The sequence below is a fragment of the Homo sapiens genome, chromosome 5 (assembly GCF_000001405.40).
Source record: "Homo sapiens chromosome 5, GRCh38.p14 Primary Assembly".
NCBI lineage: Eukaryota > Metazoa > Chordata > Mammalia > Primates > Hominidae > Homo > Homo sapiens.
This window is the reverse complement of record NC_000005.10, coordinates 103606606-103631233: the sequence shown is the minus strand read 5'-3', so window position 1 is coordinate 103631233 and position 24628 is coordinate 103606606. Positions and strand designations below refer to the sequence as shown.

The 24628-nt window shown below is 36.0% G+C and overlaps 1 long non-coding RNA gene across 1 annotated transcript in view; it reads right to left on the bottom strand.

Moving 5' to 3' along the window:
* LOC105379107 (uncharacterized) overlaps nucleotides 1–24002 on the bottom strand; it is a 339090-nt gene extending 315088 nt beyond the window's left edge. The window contains exon 1 of the long non-coding RNA XR_001742831.2: nucleotides 23854–24002. This is a non-coding gene — a long non-coding RNA (uncharacterized LOC105379107). The remainder of the gene's footprint in view (nucleotides 1–23853) is intronic.
* Between the last annotated feature and the right edge of the window lie 626 nt (nucleotides 24003–24628).

Sequence of the window (24628 nt, the reverse complement as noted above, 5' to 3'; positions counted from 1 at the left end):
TTCTCAACATATACTTTATCAACCAGCAATTCAACTCCTACATATTTCCTTAAGTGAAATAAAAATTTAATTTACACAAAACCATTTACATGAATTATAATAGCAGGCTTACTCATAATTTCTGCAAACTGGAAACAACCCAATATCCCTCTTCTGTGGAATGAAGAAGCAAACTGCGGTATATCTACATAGTAGAATATTATTTGGCGATAAAATAATAAACCATAATAAATGCAACAATATGGCTGTCTCTTAAATGCATGCCACCAAGTAAAAGAAAAGGGACTCAAAAATCTGCACACTGTATGATGCTATTTATTTGACATTCTTGTAAATGCAAAACTGTAGAGACAAAAGATTGCCAGGGATTGGGTGGAGGAAATTCTCAACTACAAAGACACACAGAAATTTTGAGAGTTGTTGTATTTGCTCCATATCTTAATTTTGGTGGTGATTACAAGCCTTTATGCATTTCTTGAAGTAACAGTAAGATGAACTTTACTTAATGTAAATTGTACTTCAAAAATTTTTGAAAACAAAAGGACAAAAATGGATTAGAAGGGAGTGACAAATATCAAAGAGAGAAAATGTTGAAGACATTGTCTTGGAAAAACAATCCAAGATATAGATCGCAGGAGTCCCTGAAATAAAAATCAAAGCAAGGGCATAGAATAAATACTAAAAACTATTATTCAAAAAAAAAACTTTCTTGAAGTAAAGATTTGAAATTGCATAGTAAAAAAACACATATATACCTGACAATTTGGTCTCTGAACTACTGTCACTAAGGTACACTATGGTAAAACTCCCGGATTCTAAAGGAAAAAAATTCTTTGGGCATTTTTTAAAACAGCATTTGTCTTATAAGGTAAAGAAAGTTAGATTGTCATTAAACTTTGGCAGCAATGCTTTCTGCCAGAAGAAAATGGAACAATATATTTGGCAATCTGAGTGACAGAATATGTATATCAAGGACTTTATGTCTAGCAAAACTGGCTTTCAAATATAAAGAGCATAAGACAAACCATTATCAACACTCAAGAATTCAGAGTGTCCTTATAAACACTTTCTGATGAATCTATTAAAGGAGTCTAACAATCAATATGTCTAGAGAAATATCTCCAAAAGCATTGATGGTGAGCATTTTAATTATAATTACATTTAGAACTAAAAATAAATGAGAAGTTTTAAAAAGGAAAAGAATATAGTATATAATTGTTGTATGCTCAGACCTTGTAGCTATAGCTCAACTACTAAAATATGAGCAAGAAAAGAGGATAGCATATGCAAAAATCACATAATTGTGCTCCATAATCATACTGAGAGTGGTCATATTGGTATTGTTATTCTGAAACTGTTACATTTGTAATGCAGAATAAAGAAAATAAGAAATTATAAAATATTTCAATCATCTATGTGTTTAAGGAAGGTTAAGTTAAAACCTTATAGTACTGATCCTGAATTAAAAATATCAACATAAACTTGTGAAGCATATTCTCTGTAAATATGTATATTTAAATGTATATTTTTGTGGGGAAGTGTGTTTCCCAGCTCTTTCTATATATTTAATTCCATTAAAATGCCTATAAACAATGACTATCCCAAAATAAATAATTGTTCCAACATTCAGATTTTAATCTTGAAGCCCAATTTTCTGCTAAAGTAAACCTGATTTTGATTTCTTGGAGAAAGCCTGATCCTAGAACTGAGATAGGAAATGCATAAAATAATCCTGAAGTACCTTGTCAAACCAAATAGAAAGGAAGCGACCAAAAATGACTTAGGTCATGTCAAAAACACTCATGAACCAATTGGAAGAGGGTTCCACTGGCCAAAGATGTGACAATTTGAGCTTCAACAAGATAATAATGCCAATAGATTAAAACACATCTATGAGTTCATAATGGTAGGGAAAAAAGACCAATAGGTTTCCAGAAGATGACTGGCAATATCTTGAAAAGTGATAAATTAAGGGTAATAATTTTGCATCTATATTGTCTTCCTTATATGAATTGTACCACTGGGTAACTACATAGTAGATGAGGAAAAGCAACTCTTCATAAAATTATCCTAGCTAATAAATGAAAATAAAATACTAGAATTATACTATCATCATTCTGCAACCTTTAATAAATTGATTATTCAAGACATTAACATTCATAATTGCTAGCATTATAATAAAAGAGAGAGACAGAAATTGAGAGAAACCAGCCATTCTGTGCCTTCTGATGAAAAAGAAAAAAAATGACCACCAATAGGTTTGCTAAAGGAATCAAACCTTAGCCCATCAAGCCTCTGGATCCACCTGTCACTCTGCAGGAAATCAGAGGGCAGAGGAATGTGTTGAACAGTACAGCACTGTAAGTATGAAACTGCCAAAATCCGGACTAGATAATCAGTAGGCCAAATGATCTAGGTTCCTCAACAAATGAATTCCAAAGAAAAAATAAAAAAGAGCCTGTATATTAAAAGATATAAAAGTCATAGCCAATATGCAACTAATCTGTAAGACTGTAGCTTAGGATTCACACTTAACTGATAAACCTGTAAAGAAACTCAAGGAAGTAATTAGTACAAAATCAAGATAGTGGTAACCATTGGGGAAATTTGGATTGGGATAGGGCACATGGATGGATTCTAGGATGGCAAGCAAAATTCCATTTCTTTTTTTTTTTTGAGACGGAGTCTTGCTCTGTCGCCCAGGCTGGAGTGCAGTGGTGTGATCTTGGGTCACTGCAAGCTCCGCCTCCTGGGTTCACACCATTCTCCTGCCTCAGCCTCCCAAGTAGCTGGGACTACAGACACCCGCCACCACTCTCGGCTAATTTTTTGTATTTTTGGTAGAGACGGGGTTTCACCGTGTTAGCCAGGATGGCCTCGATCTCCTGACCTCGTGATCCACCCACCTCAGCCTCCCAAAGTGCTGGGATTACAGGCGTGAGCCACCGCGCCCAGCCCAAAATTCCATTTCTTAACTCAGGTCATGGTTACAAGAGTGTTCATATTATATTAATTTATTAAGTTACATATATGTGTTGTGTTTGTGGTTTTATGTATATGTGTTTTATTTTAAAACTAAAAGGCGTAAGTCATATAGAAACCTGACATATACGTTCAAAAGGTTTTCTAGAGAACATAAACATGTAATAGCAGAAATCAATTTGGAAGAGGACAATATGGGATCATGTTCTCAATAAGTTATAAATATAAAACTTTGGTAACTAAAACATGATACTAGGAGAGAAATTAGTAAAGTGATCAATAAAACCAAAAAGAGAATGTGCATTTTTATATTCACGCACACGCACACACACACACACCCCTCCTTGTATGAGAAAAAAATTCAATATTTAATTCATATGTAATTAAACATACATTTAAATTTAATTTAAAATTAAATTAAATTTAAGATCTAAAATAGAAAAAGATAGCTATAAAGGAGTTAAATAAAAAGTAGCTTAGACTGGGGAGTTAGATGAAAGTGAATACTTAAGAAAGTCAAAAGGCCCAGAAAACACAAAGGAAAACATCAACGTATTTGAATAAATTTTTTTAAAGTCTTATGAAAGACAAACATTCATAGCTAGTTTTTAAAATTACAAACTAAGATAATATATTTATAGTTTATATGACTGGCAGGAGACTATTAGCCTTTACATACAAAGAAGGTATATGTCAATACAATACATCAGAACAAAAAAAAACAATAATTTAATAAAAAAATAGTCAAGGTCATGAATAGGTAATGCACACACACAAAAATATGTATGTGTATATATACACATATTATACACACATATATCCATATATAAAAATGATGCTGAACCTCACTAGTTGTCATATAAATGCAAATTAAACACCATTTACAATTTTTAACCTATTGGATTTGCAAAATATATTTTAATGAATAACCAATATGTGAGAGTATAAGAAAATTGAACATTTTCTTATTGAGAGTATAAGAACATTGTACCGTCATACAATGTTCTCTCCTTGTGGAAATCTTTGTTGACAGATACAGCTATTTTTGAAGCTACATAAATTATTCTTTTTATCTTTTTATGCTGAATTCTAGGTTAAATTTTTTGTTCAGTCTTCTTAATTACTGATTAAAAATATTCATCTATGATTTCTTTTCTTTTTTTTGAGATATGGTCTCACTCTTCCTCTGCTGCTGTCACTCTTCCTTCCACTACTGGGGTACAGTGGTGTGATCACGGCTCACTGCAGCCTTGAATTCCAGGGCTCATGTGATTCTCCTGCTTCAGCTTCCCAAGTAGCTGGGATAACATGCATGGTCCACCATGCCTGGTTAACTTTTGTATTTTTAGTAGAGACAAAGTTTCACCATATTGCCCAGGCTGGTCTTGAACACCTGGGCTCAAGCAATCCTCCCGCCTCGGCCTCCCAAAATGTTGGGATTACAGGTGTGAGCCACCATGCCCGGCCCCTGTGGAGTTTATTTTTATGAATTCTTGTTATTTTTAATAGTCTTTTATTGTTTGTCACATCAATTTTATCCCTTTAAGGATATTTTATCCCTTTAAGAATATTATTTATACTTCCTTAAAATCCTATTTTTCTTTAATTTGTTTGTTCTGGTGTTATCCACTAATTTTCATGGATTTGGTTATCACTAAATGTTTGGAAGTATTTTTTTGCCTGCTGATCTAGTTTTGCTTTTAAACATCTCATTATTCAGATGTCTGTGGTGCTTTTTTTAAAAAAAAACATAACTATCTCCAGTGATTGGGGGCGTGAGGTGGAAGCAAGGACTGCTTGCTGCTGAGTGTAGTGTCCAAGACCCATCTTTTGGATGTGGCCATATTCTCTCATCCAGGCAATGTAATTTCTGCCCATGCCACACCCGCTACAAAATCTGTGTTCAGCAGTGGATGAAGGAATTTGCTTCTGGAGCAGGATCAAGGACATGGGATGAATGGGAACATGGGCTGAAAGTGCGCAGTAGTGCCTGGATGGCTGGTGCCACCCTGTATAGAGAGAAAGTGCTGCAGCCAAAAAATGAGCTCTTGACTCTGCACTCAGCATCAAATACCATTGACCTATGGGGACCCCAGAGACCCTGCTGCTTCACATCTACATACTAGGAATGTGGAGCCCTCCCCAAAACCATTTTTGGCTATCTCAAGTGACTTTTGATGTATAGTTTCCTATGAATATGAGAATATCAGAAATTCCTCAAATTTTCTGTTCTTCTTCTTGTCTCACCTCTTGTATTCCAGAGCTATTGTGGATTTATTCCTTTTTAAACTATATTTTCTCTAAACCTAGAAGGAGACAAAGCATACCCATCTATTGACACTTACTTCTGTTTTTAATCCTTTTAAATTGTCATGATTAATTTTTGTGTCACAAAAGGAATACACTATTTTAATATCAAGTAAAACAATTCAACAATGTATAGATTTCTTCTTTACCCCTTTCTCTTCCTAGCCCCCTGAGATAAGTCTGATGGCCATGGAAGTGGCCACAGATTTTACTTCTAGAGAACCTGCTTAAGGAGCATAATTGGCTGACGGCTTCCACAGCAGGCCAAGGCCATGCTTCCCTCAGGCTGATCTCAGTCAACAACTGCCCCTAACCAATGAGAAGGTACTAGGTTCTGGCCATTTCTCTCTCACAGAGGACTCTTCTAATAGGCAATCTTTGCTCTAAGACTCCCTATCAGCCAAGACAGAACACTCTCCGAACTTTAGTCTACCTCTTTTCCTCTCTCATCCTCCTTACTTCTTTCTATTTTTTACAGGTGTCATGGCTGCATTATGGTCTAAGGTTTCTCCCTACCTCTCATACTTTTTCTCCCTCCTCCACCTCCCCTATATCTTTAATGGGCGTCTTACCCAATAAATCTCTTGCACATATAATACTGTCTTGATGTCTGCTTCTCGGAGGATCTGAACTGACATAGGTGGTACCAATAGTGATCTGAGAGAAAGAGTTGCTGGGCACGGTGGCTCACGCCTGTAATCCCAGCACTTTGGGAGGCCAAGGCGGGCAGATCAGGAGGTCAAGAGATTGAGACCATCCTGGCCAACATAATGAAACCTGTCTCTAATAAAAATACAAAAATTAGCCGGCCGTGGTGGCGTGCCTGTAGTCCCAGGTATTCGGGAGGCTGAGGCGGGAGAATCACTTGAACCTGGGAGGCAGAGGTTGCTGTGAGCCAAGATGAGGCCACTTCACACTCCAGCCTGGTGATAGAGTGAGACTCCCTGTAAAAAAAAAAAAAAAATAGTTTGCAGAATGACTCACTCACCTCCCTGCTGGCAAGGAAGGCCCTATCCTGAGTAGAATACGGCACATGGATAGCCCCTTGCACAAGATGGAGGCTAAATTGTTGAAGATTTTGCTGCTGATTATCTGAGAAAATGTCCCAGCAGAGAACAAAGCCCTTTCCAACGCAACACTTCAGACATTTGAAAGATGGGTGGGGAGGAAGTGATGAGAGGTGCCAACGCCCACAAGAATAGCAAAGCTGGCTGGTAGTTACCAAGCTGTAATGGTGCCATGCAAAAGGATAAGATATGAGGGTGGCAACAAAAGTTAGGGGTCCTCAAATATCTAGTATACAGTTATTGAGTTCATAAATGCATTGTTTTCCTATACTAAACATGTAAGAAAATCAGAGGCAGTATGGCATTCATGCGGGACAAACAATGATATTCATTTATAGTTTTGCCCCAGAGCTATATTAACTCTGTCACCCTTTGTCATAATGTGAATAGACCTTGAGACCTCTTACCCATATTTCATCAATTTTTCAAGCACAAATGTTTCTCAGATTGTTGCATTCTGTTGCTCAATGTTCAGAGTGGAAAGGGTTGTTTTTGTAAGTTCATCCAGCTTTACAGTTGTTTGTTTTTTTAAGGAGAGGATTTGGCAATCTTTCTTGGCAACAGTACTCCCCCCTTATCCATAGTTTCACTTTCCATGGTTTCAGTTACTCATGGTCAACAGCAGTTTGAGAATCTTAAATAGAAAAATCTAGAACTCAACAATTCACAAGTTTAAATTGCATGATTAAATCCCTCACTGTCCTGCTTAGTCTCACCCAGGAGGTGAATCATCCCTTTGTGCAGCAGGTCTGTATTTTCTATGCCACCTCCCCAATAGTCACTTTGCAGCTTTCTAGGTTATCGGATTGCACGGTACCACAGTGCTTGTATTTAAGTAACCCTTGTTTTATTTAATAATGGCCCCAAAGCACAAGGGAAGACATGCTGGCATATTGTTATAATTCTTCTATTTTATTATTAGTGTTGCTAAACTCTTCCCATACCTAACTTGGAAGTTAAACTTTATCAGAGGTGTATATATATATGAAAAATACATGGTATATATAGGGTTTAGTACTATCCACAGTTTGAGGTATCAACTGGGGCCCTAGAACTTATCCTTTGTGGATAAGGGGGAACTACTAAAATTAATAACACTCACTGAAAGCACCCACCATAGAAGAGGGACTAAACAAGTAAATAGAGAAAATAACTCAGTCAGTTTATGTTAACTAGCATTCATCATTGATCATCCCAGAAATAGCATTATGTACACATGAAGGGAGTGGTCACTGATTTTGAATATCCAATCCGCCAGCAACAAAAGCAAATGTTGATTTCATGATATGACACTAGTCTTTGAGGAAACCAACCGGACACTCTTGGCCAGCTGGCCATAATGGGTCTCTTCATACTGGAAGCACCAATAGTTAATCCTCATAGGGATAAATATATATACCAGATAAAGTTTTCATTACTTTACAGAGCAGAGGCCAGCCAGTTCTTCTCACAGTGCTTTAGCCAGTACCACTATTTGAAGAGTTATAGATTTTTCATTCTGCAAGCATGGAATTCCATACATGTAGCATCTGACTAACGTATGAGCTTTCAAGAGAAAGAGGTATGCCATCCAGAAACATCAGGCCTCATAGAATACTGGGACATCCTACTGAAGATAAAGCTGAAGCACCACCTTAAAGGCAATATCCTACAAGAAAAGGATGCCATTCTTCAGAATACAGCGTATGTATTAAATCAGAGACCCCACATGGTCTTCCCATATGAAGAATACAAGAGATTGGGAATCAATGGTGGAAGCAGGAGTGACTCTACTTTGCCTCACTACCAATGATCTACTGGAGGGCCACATTAAATATTCTGTTAATATTGCCAATTAGGATTTTCACAGCATTTATTTCCTGAAAAAAAAATGTTGCAAAGTACTTATTATAAAGATATTCTGCTTCCTCTAACAAATATTACTAATTGGTACTATCATGTATACCTTCCAAGCTGGCTATACCACAACCTACTATAGAGAGGAAATCAATATAGCATGATTTCTTCTTGGAATTCATTCAGGAAGCATAAGCCACGAGCAGAAACAAGAGATCATGTGCTCTTCTATAACTAACTGGCTTTTGAGTGTGGCCATGCAGACACTGTTTCAGAGACAGCTCTGATTCAGTCATAATCAATTTATCCAGTATATTAGTCATTTTGGAAGTAACAATAGCAAAATGACATTGACTTGCATAAATTAAATATTGTTTGTCATTTTAAGACACCACACATCAAATAATAGAATTTAAGTGAAACTGATTTAATATATACCCATAAGATGGCCTCCTGTTTTTATGATTATCTTAAAAACAGTAACTCTTCCATTTGTAGCTTTCACTGGAGCTTCATGACAACCTTGGAGCTAGGTAGAACAAATATTACTACTCTCATTTTAAAGATCAAGAAACTGAATCCAAAAAAAAATTTGTCTGACTGATAGTAGGGAAAGAAGCCAGCACTTTAATACATGTCTTTCAACTCATTTCTTTCTAAAGAAACAAGAAATTTAAAAGCAAATATTTGGAATCAGAAGTAGATTTCTATTCTGAGTCTGTAATTACTAGCCATGGAAACAACCACTGAATTATCTACTCTATACTTCAATTCAACATCTTAAATGCCATTAGTCAGAAAAGGATAAGAAAACAGCCATGCACTGAATGAAACCTATTGTTCAATTATCTGTATATTGAAAATATACCAAGGGTTGTTCTTTAAAGTGTTTATTCATGGTGTTTCTCTAAAACACAATGTTTCTCTCTACTTTCCTTCTGTTAACAAGATGCCTCTGGGTCTCCTGAAAATTTACTGTTGTGTGATTTATCCTTCCACCACTACCCAACAGGACAGCTAAAGCTGGGCCAGACAACTGGTACTGTGTTGTGAAGCTGCTAAAAGAATAAAGCTCTGTTTCGCTACCTCTATTATCTTTCCTCTCTTCCAAAATATCCATAGCCAATGGCAGAACTGCCCTGCCAACCCTATTCCACCCCTAATCCCACCTCCAGTATCTAAACCCTCAATTTTTTGGAGTTGTATAAAGATTAGCCCTGATAATGAGTCAGAGTCATTCACAAAGTTCCTTTCTTACTATTTCTCCTCTCTTCTTTTCTCTTTGGCTAATAGGCTCCTCTACATTCTGTCATTCTTTAAGGAACATTAACTCTGATCAGTCTAACAAACATTCCTAGAGTTCCTTCCATGCTGCCAATACTGAGGCGCTAAGAATAGAAAGATATCTACAGCACAGTCTTTATCCTTAAGATTACAGTTTATTAGAGAAGAGAGATAATTAAAGGAAACATATCACTATAATTCAATACATACAGTGGTTAAAGATAAGCTTAAAGTGTTATGGAAGCAGAGAGGAGGAACAACTCACCACTCTGTGGGTGGGAATTATGTTAATAAAAGGCTACAAGAAGAAATGAAATCTGATCTTGTAGCATGAGTACAAATTAGGAGGTGAATAAGAGTGTTACAGGTGAAAAATTAATATGAGTAATTGCATAGAAACATGAAGCCACAGGTTTTGTTCAGGTTACAAGCAGCTGGGTATTTCCAGCACTTACAATGAGCTTCAGTTTTGGACATGTGCATTCATGGTGCCTGTGGGACAATTAAGTGTAAATGTTTATCAAGAAGCTTAAAAGGAAAGTCAAAATTAAGTATTTGGCAGTCATCAATAGTATAAGATGAAGAAAAATCAAATAAGATAAGGAGGAAGTGGGGAACGTTGTTATTTTATAGAGAGTGGCCTGGAAGTTCTGCAATTTTAAGATTTTTTTTTGAGTAGAGATTTTAGTAAGTGAGAAGGTGAATCATATGAATGTCTTAGGAAATAGTTTTTTGTTCAGAAGAAACAGCAAATTCCAAAGCCCCGAGGTAAAGAGTCTACTTGATATATTTGAAGAACAATAAGGAACCAATATGAATGAAGAATATTAAGAAGGAGAGTGGAAGGAAGTGATATCAGGGACACAACAAGGGACCAAATCAAGTAGAGCCTTAATGGCCATTGTATGAACTTCAGCTTTCACTCTGAATAAGATTAGAAACCATTAGAAGTTTAGATTGGAAAAGTAATATGATTTAAGTTGTAAAAGACCTACTCTGGCTATCTGCAGAACCTACTTATTGGGCAAGGGAAAAAAAACACAGAAATGAATTAGGAAGCTACCCTATTAATTAAGGAAGGAATGATGGTAGTTTAGAGTGGTAAAAAAATGGTAGGACCCTGGGTACATTTTGAAAATAGAGCTAAAAGATTTTCTGCTTGAGTGTGTAAGAACAGATGAAATTAAGGTGCAAAAGATAATGAGAAGTCTCAAAAAAGAAGAACCAAACCATAAGAAAGAAAAAGAACAAGGTAAGAATATTGACAGGGAAGAAGTATGTTTACTGGTTTAAAAGTTTAAAGAAGGAGAATGCAGCAATGTTGTCTAAAGCAGCAGAGTGAAAAAAAAGGATAAAAGTATCTCGTTGGACTTAACAATTTTGAAGTCATCATCCTTTGCCAAAGCACTTTCAATGAAGTGGGAAGGGAGAAATCAGATTGCAATGGTTTGAAGGATGGACAGTGAAAGAAGGAATGAGAGATAGCACTAATGTTACCTGTCAAACTCAACAGAGGGGAAAGAAAAGGGTTGTACCAGCTAGGTATTTGGAGTAAAGAGAAGATTGAATCATTCATGTGTTGTGATGTGATTCACAACCAGGAAGGATCCATGGTAATCTCTTTTAATCCCAAGCTTTAGGAACAACCCAGTGGAATGGGTCAGTTCCACTTTCCAGTCACTAAGATTTAAATGTCAATTTTCCTTGAAACCTGGGTCAGGGAGAGAATTTCAGAATAATAATGTATAAGTATTCAGCAAACATCCACATAAAAGCATTATAACACATTAGTTTACAGAAAGAAGTTACCAAAGCATTATCTAAACTTTTTTCTGAAAACACGGCTAATGCATTACATCTGTGTGGCATCTTATTCAGTTGTACTAGTATCTGGTCTCATCAGATAACCTAATTTGATAAATCATCTGTTCAGCTTCAACTTTTGCTTAAGTAGATACAAAATTAACTCTATATAATGAGTATGCATCTTACTTTTGCTCATTTAAATGAGATTTGTACAGATTGAAAGATCATTTAATTATAGTGATCTCAATAAGACCTTAATATTGAACTGTAAACCCAGTATATCATATGCAGATTATGCAATCTCCTAAATATTAACACATTAACTTGTATTTTTAAAATGTCCTTCCATTGACAGAAAACATCATAGTCACAGAACTTTTAAACTGGAAGTTCTAGAGACATCAAGTTCAAACAAGTTCATTTATAAATGAGGAAATCGTAGCGCAGGAAATCTTCTTGATCAGCTAACTTTACACAAACATTGACAGAAACAAGAGGCAAATCTAGAGTCCTGGATTTCTGGTTTTCTTTTCATTATGGCAATCTATAATTCTTCTGTGTATTCCTTGAAAAAAGTACTGGGATATTACTACCAAAATTAAATATCTAAAGGTTTTGATCCCTTCCTATATGTGGCTGTAGACATTGTGCCAAGTCTTTACATAAATGATTTCACTCAATCTTCATAACCATTCTAAGATGTAAGTACTATTAATACCCCATTTTATAGCTGGAGAAACTGAAACAGAGACATTGCATAACCTTTCCAAGGACACTCAGGTAGCAAATGACAAAACTGGAATAACTTCCCAGGCTCAAGGCAGCCTGCTTATTTCTTGATGTAGGCTAAGCATTTCTCAAAATTCAATTCAAAAAGTATTCATTGAAAGGCTGTTATGGATAAGATACTGTCTTGGGAGTTGAATAAGATATGTATGATACAGAGCTTCAAGACCTACAAAAAGACAGATGTGTACATTACTAATTGTAATACCAAAAAAATGGGTAAAGGGTAAAGTTAAAACAGAAAAAAAGTAAAGTGCACAGAAGAGAAAGGAATTTCAGGAGCCAGGAGTGAGCAAGAACATAAAAATGGCCAATTCTACCTTATAACCTATTGAAAATCTTCTTTGGACCAGTCTTTTACCATAAAAGCCCAATAGATATAGAAATATTTCCTTTTGGTAGTCTTATATATGTGTATCCAATTCAGCTTTTTTTTAATACCATACACAACACAGCTATTTCTTTTTTTTTTTTCCTTTTGAGACGGAGTCTTGCTCTGTTGCCCCCAGGCCAGAGTGCAGTGGCGTGAACTCAGCTCACTGCAACTTCCACTTCCTGGATTTAAGCGATTCTCCTGCCTCAGCCTCCCGAGTAGCTTGAATTACAGGCAGCAGCCACTATGCCCGGCTAATTTTTGTATTTTTAGTAGAGACGGGGTTTCACCATATTGGCCAGGCTGGTATTGAACTCCTGACCTCAAGTGATCCGCCCACCTCAGCCTCCCAAAGTGCTGGGATTACAGGTGTGAGCCACCACGCCTGGGCGCTACTTCTATGTTTAGGACTCAAATAATTTTTTTAATGCCTATGGTGCAGATGGTAAAAAATATTCAATAAATAAATCAGCTGTGCGAAAGCTCTCTTAATATATCAAATCATCTTTACAGAAAGTTATTAGAGGCCTCAAAGTCTTCATAAAATAATCCATTCACATTCACTGTCCACTTAAGCAGCAACCTCTAAATTTATGAGTTGCTGAAAAGTCATAAAACTTGCTGAGTATTAATTTCTTAGATGACCCTGGTCTGGTAAGAAAAGTGCAAACAAGAGTCAGAGGAGGGAAGTTAACTCCTGCCAAATACATTCCAGACTATTCAAGAATCACTGCCTTCTCAGGGCAACATGCTTTATATATGCTTATGTTACCATTTACTAAAGATCAGGGAATATGTCTATGGTTGTTGTTTAAGGTCTCGCATTTTAGCTATTTTTTTCTGCAACTACACTTAATCAAATATAGTTTGTTTTCAAATGCCCAAGCTGTATAAGAACTGTGTATGTAAAAAAGTCAATGGAGAAACCATTGCTTTTTTCATTTTCATACTATAAATGTTACTATTGCAAACTAATTTGTACAATCACTAAGTGTTAAGTGTCTGGTGGTGAAGATAGTATTAAGTTTCTTTTTCATTTTAGGAGTGGTCCATTTGTCTTCACAAATCCATGGTCTATCCAAGCTGCCATTTTTTTTAAATTGTTTTTTCTAGTACTGGACAAGGGGAGTTTTACATCCCTTCCCAGTAAATAGAGTTCCTATCATTAAAAAGGTGAGGTACAACCAAAGAGTTCTTGGCATGTAGTGCTTGACCAAACTCCTCCAGAATCTCTCAGAAATAAAAGAAGGCTTGAAGTATCTTTCGTAGATCAATGTTGGTCAAACTCCCTTCATTTGCATACTGCTGTCATGACTTGTGTCTTTAAAGTCTAGATGCTTATGTACTTAATATTTTAGTTTAAATGGAATCACTATTTTTACTTAAATAAATTTATTTTAAGATAAAAACTCCCTATCACTATTGTAAGGGAAAAATCAATATCATGTGTCATAAAATGTGTCAAAACAACTAGCTAGATGCAGTTGCTTGCCAAGGCCAGCTCTCTAATTATTAAATAGAGAGATCAACACGTGCTAGAGAGCTCTTAAGTACATATTAGCACCACATTGACTTGTTTTTTTCTGCACACTAATTAGAAGAAAAAATTGCAAACAGGGTGCTTCTCTTTCTGTGTGGCTCAGTGTTATTTAATGCTGTGCCCATTTACCTTCTAATTTCATATTAAATACTCCAAGGAGCCAAGTAGCACACTTTGAAAGACTGTTCTAAATTATCTGAAATTTCCTAAATGCAAACCCTGCCACTTCTAACTGATCCAGAATAAGAGTTCAGTATCACTCTTATCATCTACAACCTTCTCTGATCATTCCCTTTCCCCACATCACCCATGCTAAATCTATATTGTGTTTTTTCTCAGAGCAGGACTAGTCTGATTGTCTAGAAATTGTTTCCCAGCTCCACCACAGGCTAGCAGTCACTATTACCTAACAACTTTCTGGCCTAATTCCCATATTTTAAAAAATGGGTGGCCCCATATATATTCATATCTCTTTTAGATTTGAGTTTTTACCTTAATTAGGTAAAAGAGTTTAGTCATTTCTCACAAATAAAGAGATGACTAAAAAGGCCTGTCTTTCTTGAACATCTACTGTCCTGAACTTTAACAATCATTTTAACATGAATTATTTTCCTTTATTCTCCATGTTAGTAACTCCACATTCCATTTGGAAACAAGATTCATGTTCTCAGCTCCAGAATAACTAAATTATTCATTCTGGTTTCCACAAACTCTAATTTGGGTTACAATATTTTTCTAATCCACAATATCATTAAACTATAAAATTCCCATAGTAATTTTTCTATTAAAAAATCAAATAATGCCAGCACAATTCATACTTTCTCTTTGAAACCACAGGAAGAGCTTTGTGACCTTTCAAAGTTTTAGTAGTTAAATTAAGTTTTATTATAATCCCCTTCCCAATTATCCTATTTTTAAAAAAATCAAATTCAGCATTGTTGAAAACCAGAAATACTCAACACCAACATAAAATATGAGTCAGTAGCCAAGGCTTGATGTAGTATATGCACTTGTCATTTCTTACACAACTAAAATTTTACCAGGATATTTCCTAAATATTACATGTGATCAAAAGTCTTTTCACTCATTTTATGGGTTTTAAGAGGCTCACCATAATTTTGCTTATAGCTCTTCTTTCTAATACAGTTGGGCACTACCTTGATAATCCATCAAATAATCTAAGATACAAAACAAAGGACTGCTGGCTGGTAAGCCACTGAGGGACCAAGCCACGAGTCACCCAAAAGCCATCAGAAACTGTACAAAATAACAGGTAAAGGAGAAAATTTCTAGCTAATGCCACAAGAAAACTAGTAGTTCTATGTAGACATTAAACACAAAACCCAGCCATATTTGCACAGAACTCTATACTAGGGTGTTAGCCACTTTTAGACAACTTATTCTTTCTCAAATTAATAAATGGCATCTACATTTGATACAGCCAATGATTAAAATTAAAATTAAATATGCATTGTATTGACATGACCCAAATATCAATAATTCATTAAAATGGTCTCGAACTGAGGGATCTTTTTTTTTGTTTTAAATAGAGGAAAAATTGCAAGAAAAAAGTAATTAGATGATAGATATGGTATTCCTGTGGTGAACTATTGCAGCAGCTCATCATATTTACCCAGGTATCTCTTTAAGGTCTTATTTGTGAAAGTTTGTGATAAAACCGAAAAGAACTTTTAAATTCATTTGGCTTTTGAGATTATCACTCTATTTAACCTTGAAAGCTTTTTGCATTTTCTCATGTCTTTGTTTGCTTTCAGCAATTTATCTTCATTTTAACTTTAATCCATTTTATATCGCCTGCCTCATCTTTGATCCACAAGGTTTAACCTTTTATTTTCTTTTTTTAATCTGCTGTGTCTACGGTGTGGTAAGGTGGGGATAACAAAGCCTTCTGTCTCCTGTTTATAAAGGGGTATATAATATAATTAGCTTGAATAGGTTATATATACATAAGTGTGTGTGTGTGTGTGTGTGTGTGTGATTAAACAATGTGTGTGTGTGCATGATTAACCAATGATCATTTTATCTATTAGATTGAAAGCTGGTATCAAAATGATACTTGTTCCATATTAAGTAGCAATTTCACATAGGATTTTCAACACTGATCCTGTCAGTTACACTATCCTCAAGGTGACAACATTTTGTCTCAAGTGGCCTAAGGATTTCAACATTACTTCTGACAAAAGTGGAAGCAAACACTTATCAATTTTTCTATAAGAACCATGAAACTACCATTGCAGTGGCTGTCTTACATCTTTGCATAGAATATCAATAGTTTAGACTAGCTTTGCACAACTAGGATCATTTTTTACATTAGGTATTACAGACACAGACAAGAGACTCTTTGAGCTTTCCAAGGGCCTGAAAATAATTATATATCAGTGGCTACAAAATTTAAAAATTAATGAGATATTTGAGTAATAGCTGCAAAAATGTTATGTCACCTGTGACTCAATTCACATACAAACATAATAAAATTTAAATCTCCAGGGCAAAAGAAATAACTAATTCCATTAAAGTAAAATTATCTTAAAATTTTTTATCAAAAATATATTTAATGTGATGATTCAAATATTTGCATTAGAATTAGAATCTGTTTAATATGATAAGTGGGGTCTGCCAAAGCAAGCATGCCTGGGACAAATGTGATCACTATAGATCTTTATTTGCATGTCAGTAAAACAGTAATTAGAGACTGTGAAACACAGAATTTTGTAAGGCAACAAAAATATCTGTATGAGAACTAGTTGTAGGCTGGAAATTACTTTCTCACAGACATTAAATCAGATAAATTAGGATTTTCCAGAAATCTTACCCAGTGAAAAGAAAATCCCAGGAGCCTTGGGTCTTATTATAATTGGTCTTATTCCTATCTCATTTCTGAAAACAACATGAGTAGGACAGCTGTACTCTAAGATAATTAAAGATGGTTTATACTATTCTGAAGTTATCATGGGTATCAGTATATCTATGATTTTTTTTCCAGCAATTGAAGCTTGCCAAAGATATACCATAGCAGAGACACTCAGAAAATGTGCCCATAAAGTAGTAATTGCTTCATATTTGTTTAACAACTTGGAGTGTCTGACAATGACCCCCTTACATTTTTTACCTGAGAAAAATCAGAGCAGAAAATTCTCAGCAGAATGTCATGAGCTTTTAAGGATCAGACTTATAAACTACCTTATATCAAACCACCACATCCTATTACAGTTCCACACCTTGTTGAAGGCCCAATATAAACTTGGGCTTGAAATCAAGCACCCCAGTGTTACAAGCTAGCCTGTTTCTCACAGTAACAATTCCACAGAGAGAAACTGCTCTCACTTCCTAACGGGTTTGAGATGCTGAAATGTAACTGCTTCTCTTCAGTAATTTTCCATCAAATGTGCAAGATACACCTTGACAGTGAAACATCGTTTCTCATTTACCTCTTCAACAAGATTGAAATATTCCTTCTCTATAACAGGACATTCATTTTACTTAAAGAAAACCAGGGTTGATCTCTGTGGTTTCATTTCTTTTTCCAAATACTTTCTCATTTAAAAAATATACCCCAAACAAACAAACAAACAAAAAACACATAGATTTTTTAGCTCGTAGGAACTGATAAGAACAATGCTTTTTAACGTGCTACCAGTATCTCAAAGTGATATGCAATTTGAGTTGTTCTGAGTCAGCCACTTTTAGTGGCTAGCTTTCTTGGCGACCACCTATCTAGTTGCTGAGAATACAGGCTGCAGTAATGAACACAATTTAAAATCATGCACTCATTGTATGGATTACCAAATCAATGTGTATGAAACCTGCCGGGAACTCAAAGTTTTTGTTTAAAGTAAAACATTTCCAGTAGTAGAAAGGGAAATAATTTTGGAAAGTTGAAATCAGAGTGATGAACTATAGCACAATGTTTCAAAGCTCTGGCTGCCATCATCCCTATCAGAGTTGTTACACTGCAATATGAATAAAAAGCCCATCCCACTTATGAATCAATTAGAAGTGAGATTAGGGATGAAGTTCATTCTGACCTACAAGTCCTTGTATAGGAATTTGTCTTTGTCAAACAGCCAGTGGTTTTATTTTCCCCAACTGCTAATATCTTGTTCCAGTATAATAGTAGGTTGGGTGATAAATAATGAGAAAGGCATTTAATCTTTAAGGTTTCCACATAATAAGTTTCAGTTAACTAAATGATTCCAATGGCCTGAAATATTCCAAAATTTCCTGGGAAAGGATTTAAAAAATGATATATAACATTTATTTAAGTTTACATCTATAAAAGAAGAATCTAGATTTCACCACATTCAGGATAAACCTCACTATTAGAACCAGGTGAGAAGTAGTCTCATCTGAAAGAGTGAATAACTATTCTGTTCATCTATAAAGAACGTGAATATTTTCTAACTGCAAAAGAGCTAGAGGTTAGAGCAGCACAGCTGGCTGAGACTTAGGAGCCAGTCAAGCCCAGCTTTTTATTTGCATAAATTACTTAAATTCTTTGCACCTCAGGTTCTTTGTCTGTGAAATGGGACAGGAATAAAGGCAATAACTGCTAGACAGTGGTTCCTGCAGTGCATCCTGAAATATCCTGGGTGCTCATGTTCATTAACTTCATATCACACAATAATTATACAAGATTAACAAAACATTTCCAATAACTATTTGGAAATTCTGCTTCAATAAATTATATAAAACCATTTTGCTTTCTGGGTGCCAATTTTTTGTGACTAGACATTTCCAGAGTCTAAAAGGTTGTTTGTTGTGTATGTAGATTAAATAAATTTTCTCCCTTGCAAACTTATTTATACTTTTCATCTGATTACCAAAAGCAGGAAACAAAACAATAAAAGACTTTATTTTTCATCAACATTTCCAAATTCAGTATGGCAGAGTGAAAAAGGATGGACTATGGGATCAGAAATCGTTGTGTTAAAAGCCTAGTTTGGCTGTAAACATGTTCAAGACACTTGAGAGGTTTGAGCTTCAGTTTCCTCATCTGCCAAACTGGGGTAATACTGCTTTGAAAAGTGAATGAGCTGGCCGCGCACAGTGGCTCACACCTGTAATCCCAGCACTTTGGGAGGCCGAGACGGGCGGATTATGAGGTCAGGAGATCGAGACCATCCTGGCTAACGCGGTGAAACCCCGTCTCTACTAAAAATACAAAAAATTAGCCAGGCGTGGTGGCAGGCGCCTGTAGTCCCAGCTACTCAGGAGGCTGAGGCAGGAGAATGGCGTGAACCCGGGAGGCAGAGCTTGAGCGAGCTGAGATCGCGCCACTGCACTCCAGCCTGGGCGACAGAGGGACACTCTGTCTCAAAAGAGTGAATGAACTAAGCAAAAACAATATGTGCAGTGTGTGTGTGTGTGTGCGTGTATGTGAAATTATATATATTTAAAATTATACACATATATGTATATAAATCTGGCAAGGTGTTTCCAATAATAACCCCATAAATCTATATGTTTTTAGATCAAGAATTTACAATTAAGAATGGATTAATAAAATATTTCTATGCAGCAGTTAAGTTCGTGGTTAGTGCTCAGTACCTTCAATTTTATCTATATAAGCTATGATACCTAGGTCTAGATATTTTTAACTTAAGACTCTCTTCTATAATGGCATGCTAAGAATCTACATGGGATAAGATATTTTTGTCCAAAGCTAAATTCCAAATAGTGCAAAAAAAATTGTAAATAAAACAACTGCTACTAGGATTCTTAATTTTCAGGTTGACTCCAACTCCTAGAAAGTACCCAATTAGCAGTGGTCTGTATTCCTTCCTTGGGGTATTATGGAAATTAGAGATTTAAAAGATTTTCTATGCAATGTCCTCACTTGCCGCTGAATTCCTTTTTCCCCCCAGAAAATAGAAAGGAACTAAATGTAAGAACAATATCAATTATTTGGCTTTTACAGTTGAGAAATTGCCCTTGTTTTTAGAAAGGTCGTTGTAGAACTGTCAAGTGATAATATTTGTTTAATGGTTCATGGACGTTTCTTAAAGATGGCTCACATGAACATTTCTGCAGAGTCAACATTGGGAATTGTCTGACAGGTCTTCCCACACATAGCCTTGTTCTTCTATCCAGCTGTTGATTTTCTGTGATGTGGTTCACACTGCTTAAAAAACTCAGACCCCGAGAGCTTCTTTATATGCCACATTACTTTTTGTCCCATCCCTTTGTTTTGTTTTCTTTTAGCAATTATTATGTTGTTCATGTACTTGTTTCCTTGATTAATAAATATGATTAGCTTGTGTACTAGTCCGTTTTTGCATTACCATAAAGAAATACCTGAGATTGGATAATTTATCAGAAAAGAGGTTTAATTGGCTCATGGTTCCACAGGCTGTAGAGCAAGCATGTCAGCCTTTGCTTCTGGGGAGAGCTCACGGAGGTTTTACTCACGGTAAAAGGCAAAGCAGGAGCAGGCAACTTACATGGCAAGAGCAGGAGTAAGAAAGAGATAAGGAGGAGATACTACACCGTTTTTTGTTGTTTTTTTTTTGAGATGGAGTCTCACTCTGTCTCCCAGGCTGGAGTACAGTGGTGTGATCTCAGCTCACTGCAATCTCCACCTCCCAGGTTCAAGCAATTCTCCTGCCTCAGCCTCCTGAGTAGCTGGGACTACAGGCGAGTGCCACCACACCCGGATAATTTTTTCTATTTTTTTAGTAGAGATGGGGTTTCAAAGTGTTAGCCAGGATGGTCTCGATCTCCTGACCTCGTGATCCACCCGCTTCGGCCTCCCAAGGTGGTGGGATTACAGGCATGAGCCACGGCGCCTGGCCACTACACACTTTTAAACAATCAGATTTCATGAGGACTCATGCACTATGGCAAGGACAGCTTCAAGTGGATGATGCTAAACCATTCATGAGAAACTCACACCCATGATCCAGTCACCTCACACCAGGGCCCACCTCCAACATTAGGGCTTATAATTCAACATGAGAGTTGGGTGGGGACAAAGATTTGAACCATATCAGCTTGGGATTATTGCCTGGTTTATTCACCAATGTTCTGTTAATGTCAAGAATATTGGGCGCGGTGGCTCACGCCTGTAATCTCAGCACTTTGGGAGGCCGAGGTGGGCAGATCATGAGGTCAGGAGATCGAGCCCATCCTGGCTAAAACGGTGAAACCCCGTCTCTACTAAAAATACAAAAAATTCGCCTGGTGTGGTGGCAGGCACCTGTAGTCTCCGCTACTCGGGAGGCTGAGACAGGAGAATGGCGAGAACCTGGGAGGCGGAGCTTGCAGTGAGCCAAGATCTTGCCACTGCACTCCAGCCTGGGCGACAGAGCAAGACTCTGTCTCAAAAAAAAAAAAAAAAAAGAAAAAAAAATTGCCTGGCCTATAATAAGACTTAATAATTACTAATTGAAAAAGTAAATCCAGATACCCAATATACATAGTGGAAAGGCTAAGCACTTACAAAAGCATACTGCCTTCCTAGGCTTTCATCAAGGTATGATTCTACCTTCCTTTACAAGTTGTATTTTCCTCAAAAAAAAAACCCACAAATCTAACAATGTGGTACTGCCTTTGGCTCAGTCCACCTCAGGCCATAGTGAAAATAGGGTGCCACTTATCCAGAAAGATAGTAACAAAAACAGGTTCCATTAGGATCAAAACCACATGCAGTCTCATAAAGTGAAAGCCTGAAAAAACAATGTCAGACAGTAAATCTATGTTTTAGCAAAGCTGGCAGAGATTTCTTCGCTAGGAAAAAAAAAAATGCAGGACAAGCTTTTGTTAGATGGTAAAAATAGACAACATCATCGTGATAGTGATCCAGCATGAGGCATAGCTGTAAAGTACCCCTCCTGAATTAATTACTAGAGAGAGTGCAATTTTTGAGACTGTTGTACAATTTGCACTTCAAGGATTTCCTTACCTATATACAAAATAACTTTTATTTATCATTATCCAACTAACCATATATTATTAATATTTTGGTATGTCTTTCTAAGTTGCCTCCTGTCACAACCCTTTTAAATGCACCCAGGCTACTGGCTGCAAACATTTTCTGGGAGCACACAGAAACCTGGACAAAGCCACACGACCCTAATATCCACATTTAGTACCAAATGTTGTCCCATTTTCAATTAACTTGTTCTTCTAGTCTTTTAACTCTCATTTGTCTACTTAAACTTGCCTCAGACCCTCCCTTCATCTGTAATCTGCATTTTCCTTACACACCATTGTATTTTTCAATTTTTTGTGTATCTGCTTCTCTCCCACTAAAGACAGACTCTCCTGGTTTCCAACACATTAGAGAGGGAGAGTTCATACCTCTTCAACAGCCTTCAAAAGAATGTTGCCAATCATGCAATGGATTTTGGGTATCAGGTGGGTTATGCTGCATTCTAATTTCTTTGACCATTGACAGCCTCATTACGGTAACTGTAATAATTCTCGTTTAACTGGAGAATGTCTTGTTGTAATAATATTCTGCTTTGTTTTATCTCACTTTTTGCATTGCGAGCTCTTTGAGGGCAAGGATCGTGTTTTACTCAGCTTGGAAGGCTTTGCATCAGCTAACACAATGCTGTCTACCTACTACTTTTAAAGAGTTGTTAAATTAACTGGATTGAATTAAATTCTTGACAAATGAGATTTTTTAAAAATTTTACTGTCAAGTTTTAATTTCTAAGTGATATGCTTCCATATGTGTAAAATAAAGAACTCTTATTTTATAAATATGTTTTGTTTTGGATAACCTTATAATTCATTGAATAATTGCTGCCTAGTTAGAAAAATCAAACTTGAAAACAAATATAAGCAAGGCAACATTTTCAATTGTTATACAAGTTGATCCTGATAGTATGCATTAGAATCACCTAGGAATATTTAAAAAGGGGAGGCGACTAAATCTCAGATGTACTTCCTGAGTACTGAACTGGAATCCCAGCTGACACAGACATACATCCATGGTAAGTACCACCGATAGAAGCAGAGGCAAGTATAATTAAAGAAATTAGGAAAATCAAGATACCTTACAGAGATACCATGAAAATCAAATGAGCTTCATTTTGAGAAAAGGCATCATAGACTGAAAAATGCTGTAAAATACTAATGGCCATTATCATAACCATCACTGCTTCTAGTAGGGATTTTCAGGTAGCTGCCTAGAAGAAAAGTTTTTGAGCTTTGCTTCAGGGATACACTGCTTCTGAGACAGACCACATTTTTTAAACAGCCCATGAATCTTCACTTTTTCACCGTGATTAATTTTTGTTTACTTGATACTTTTTCAAATCAGTCCAACCCTTAAAAAGCACCACTCTTTTTCTGATTTATAAAATTATCCTCTTTAAAGCTTACTTCAATTCCAATCCATTCAAGTGCTTCTAACTTGGTACATTTTTCTTTTTAATTTTTAAAAAATTCATAAAAGGGGTACATACTCATCTCTTAGACAACATAAATTACAGAATAATATGTGGTATTAGTGTGATTCAAGTCCTCAGACATTAAATAGTATCAATCACAACTTAATCTGTAAATATGAAAATGTCTATTATATGCAAAATAATTTAATAGCTTATTGTTTTGCTTCAACATGAAACTTTGCCAGATTCTATTTGGACTATGCCATAATTCTTAATTAACATTCTTAGGTTCCACAACATGGTTCAAAAACAATGGTAAATCATTACATTACAGACAGTGATTTCTCAATTAATTTCTAAGCACCAACAGCAATTCTGCTATTTCAAGCTGCACTTAGATCATAAATTATTCTGTGGGCCCTGTTGCTTGTACCAAATAAATGTAGAGTTACTCATCTATATGAAGATGGCAATTTGGCAAAATATTTAGAGCACAAGGAACAAAAGTATTACCTCTTCTTGGTCAGGACCCTCTTGCAGCTGAAAATGATGATGAAAAACTCACCAAATAGTCCCTGAAACAGTTGTTGAAAACCTGCTTTATCTTCAGCAGTCACCTGAGAAGAAACTAGTTAACAGCTTGACAGATTCAAGACAGGAACAAGCAACTTCCCTTGGCACTATTTTAAATTGCTGCAAGGGAGGGCGAATCAGTGAAACTGGGGTCAGGGGAAAAAAGTAATAATTGCTTGTTAGAAAAGAAGAGGTATGCAAGAGACAATACTAAAAAAACAGTTACACGTCCAAAATAGGCATTAAAAATAAACCATTATTAAGTACATGTACTTAGAAAAATTATTTTAATTTTGTTTACTTCTAGTAAATGAAATACATATGTCTAGAAATCAAAATAAAGTTTAATTTTTTAAAAATGATATTAAACCACAGAAGTCTGTTCAAGAATTAGCTTAACCCACAGCTCTTAGAATACTGCATGAGTTTTAATAGGGTCATCCAAAACAGGAAAATAATTTGTGAGTATCAGATTGATGTAAAGTAGCCTCACCTAAAATAGATATGATGACAGCCACACCATAGAACGGAGGTCGGCAACCATTTTTTCTAAAGGTCAAGATAGTAAATATTTCAGGCTTTGGGCAAGCCATATGGCCTCTATGGCAGTTTCTCAACTCTGCCATTGTAGGGTGAAAGCAGCTATATACAATATGTAAACAAAAGGGCATAGCTGTGTTCCAACAAAATTTATTTATAAAAACAGTCAACCAAC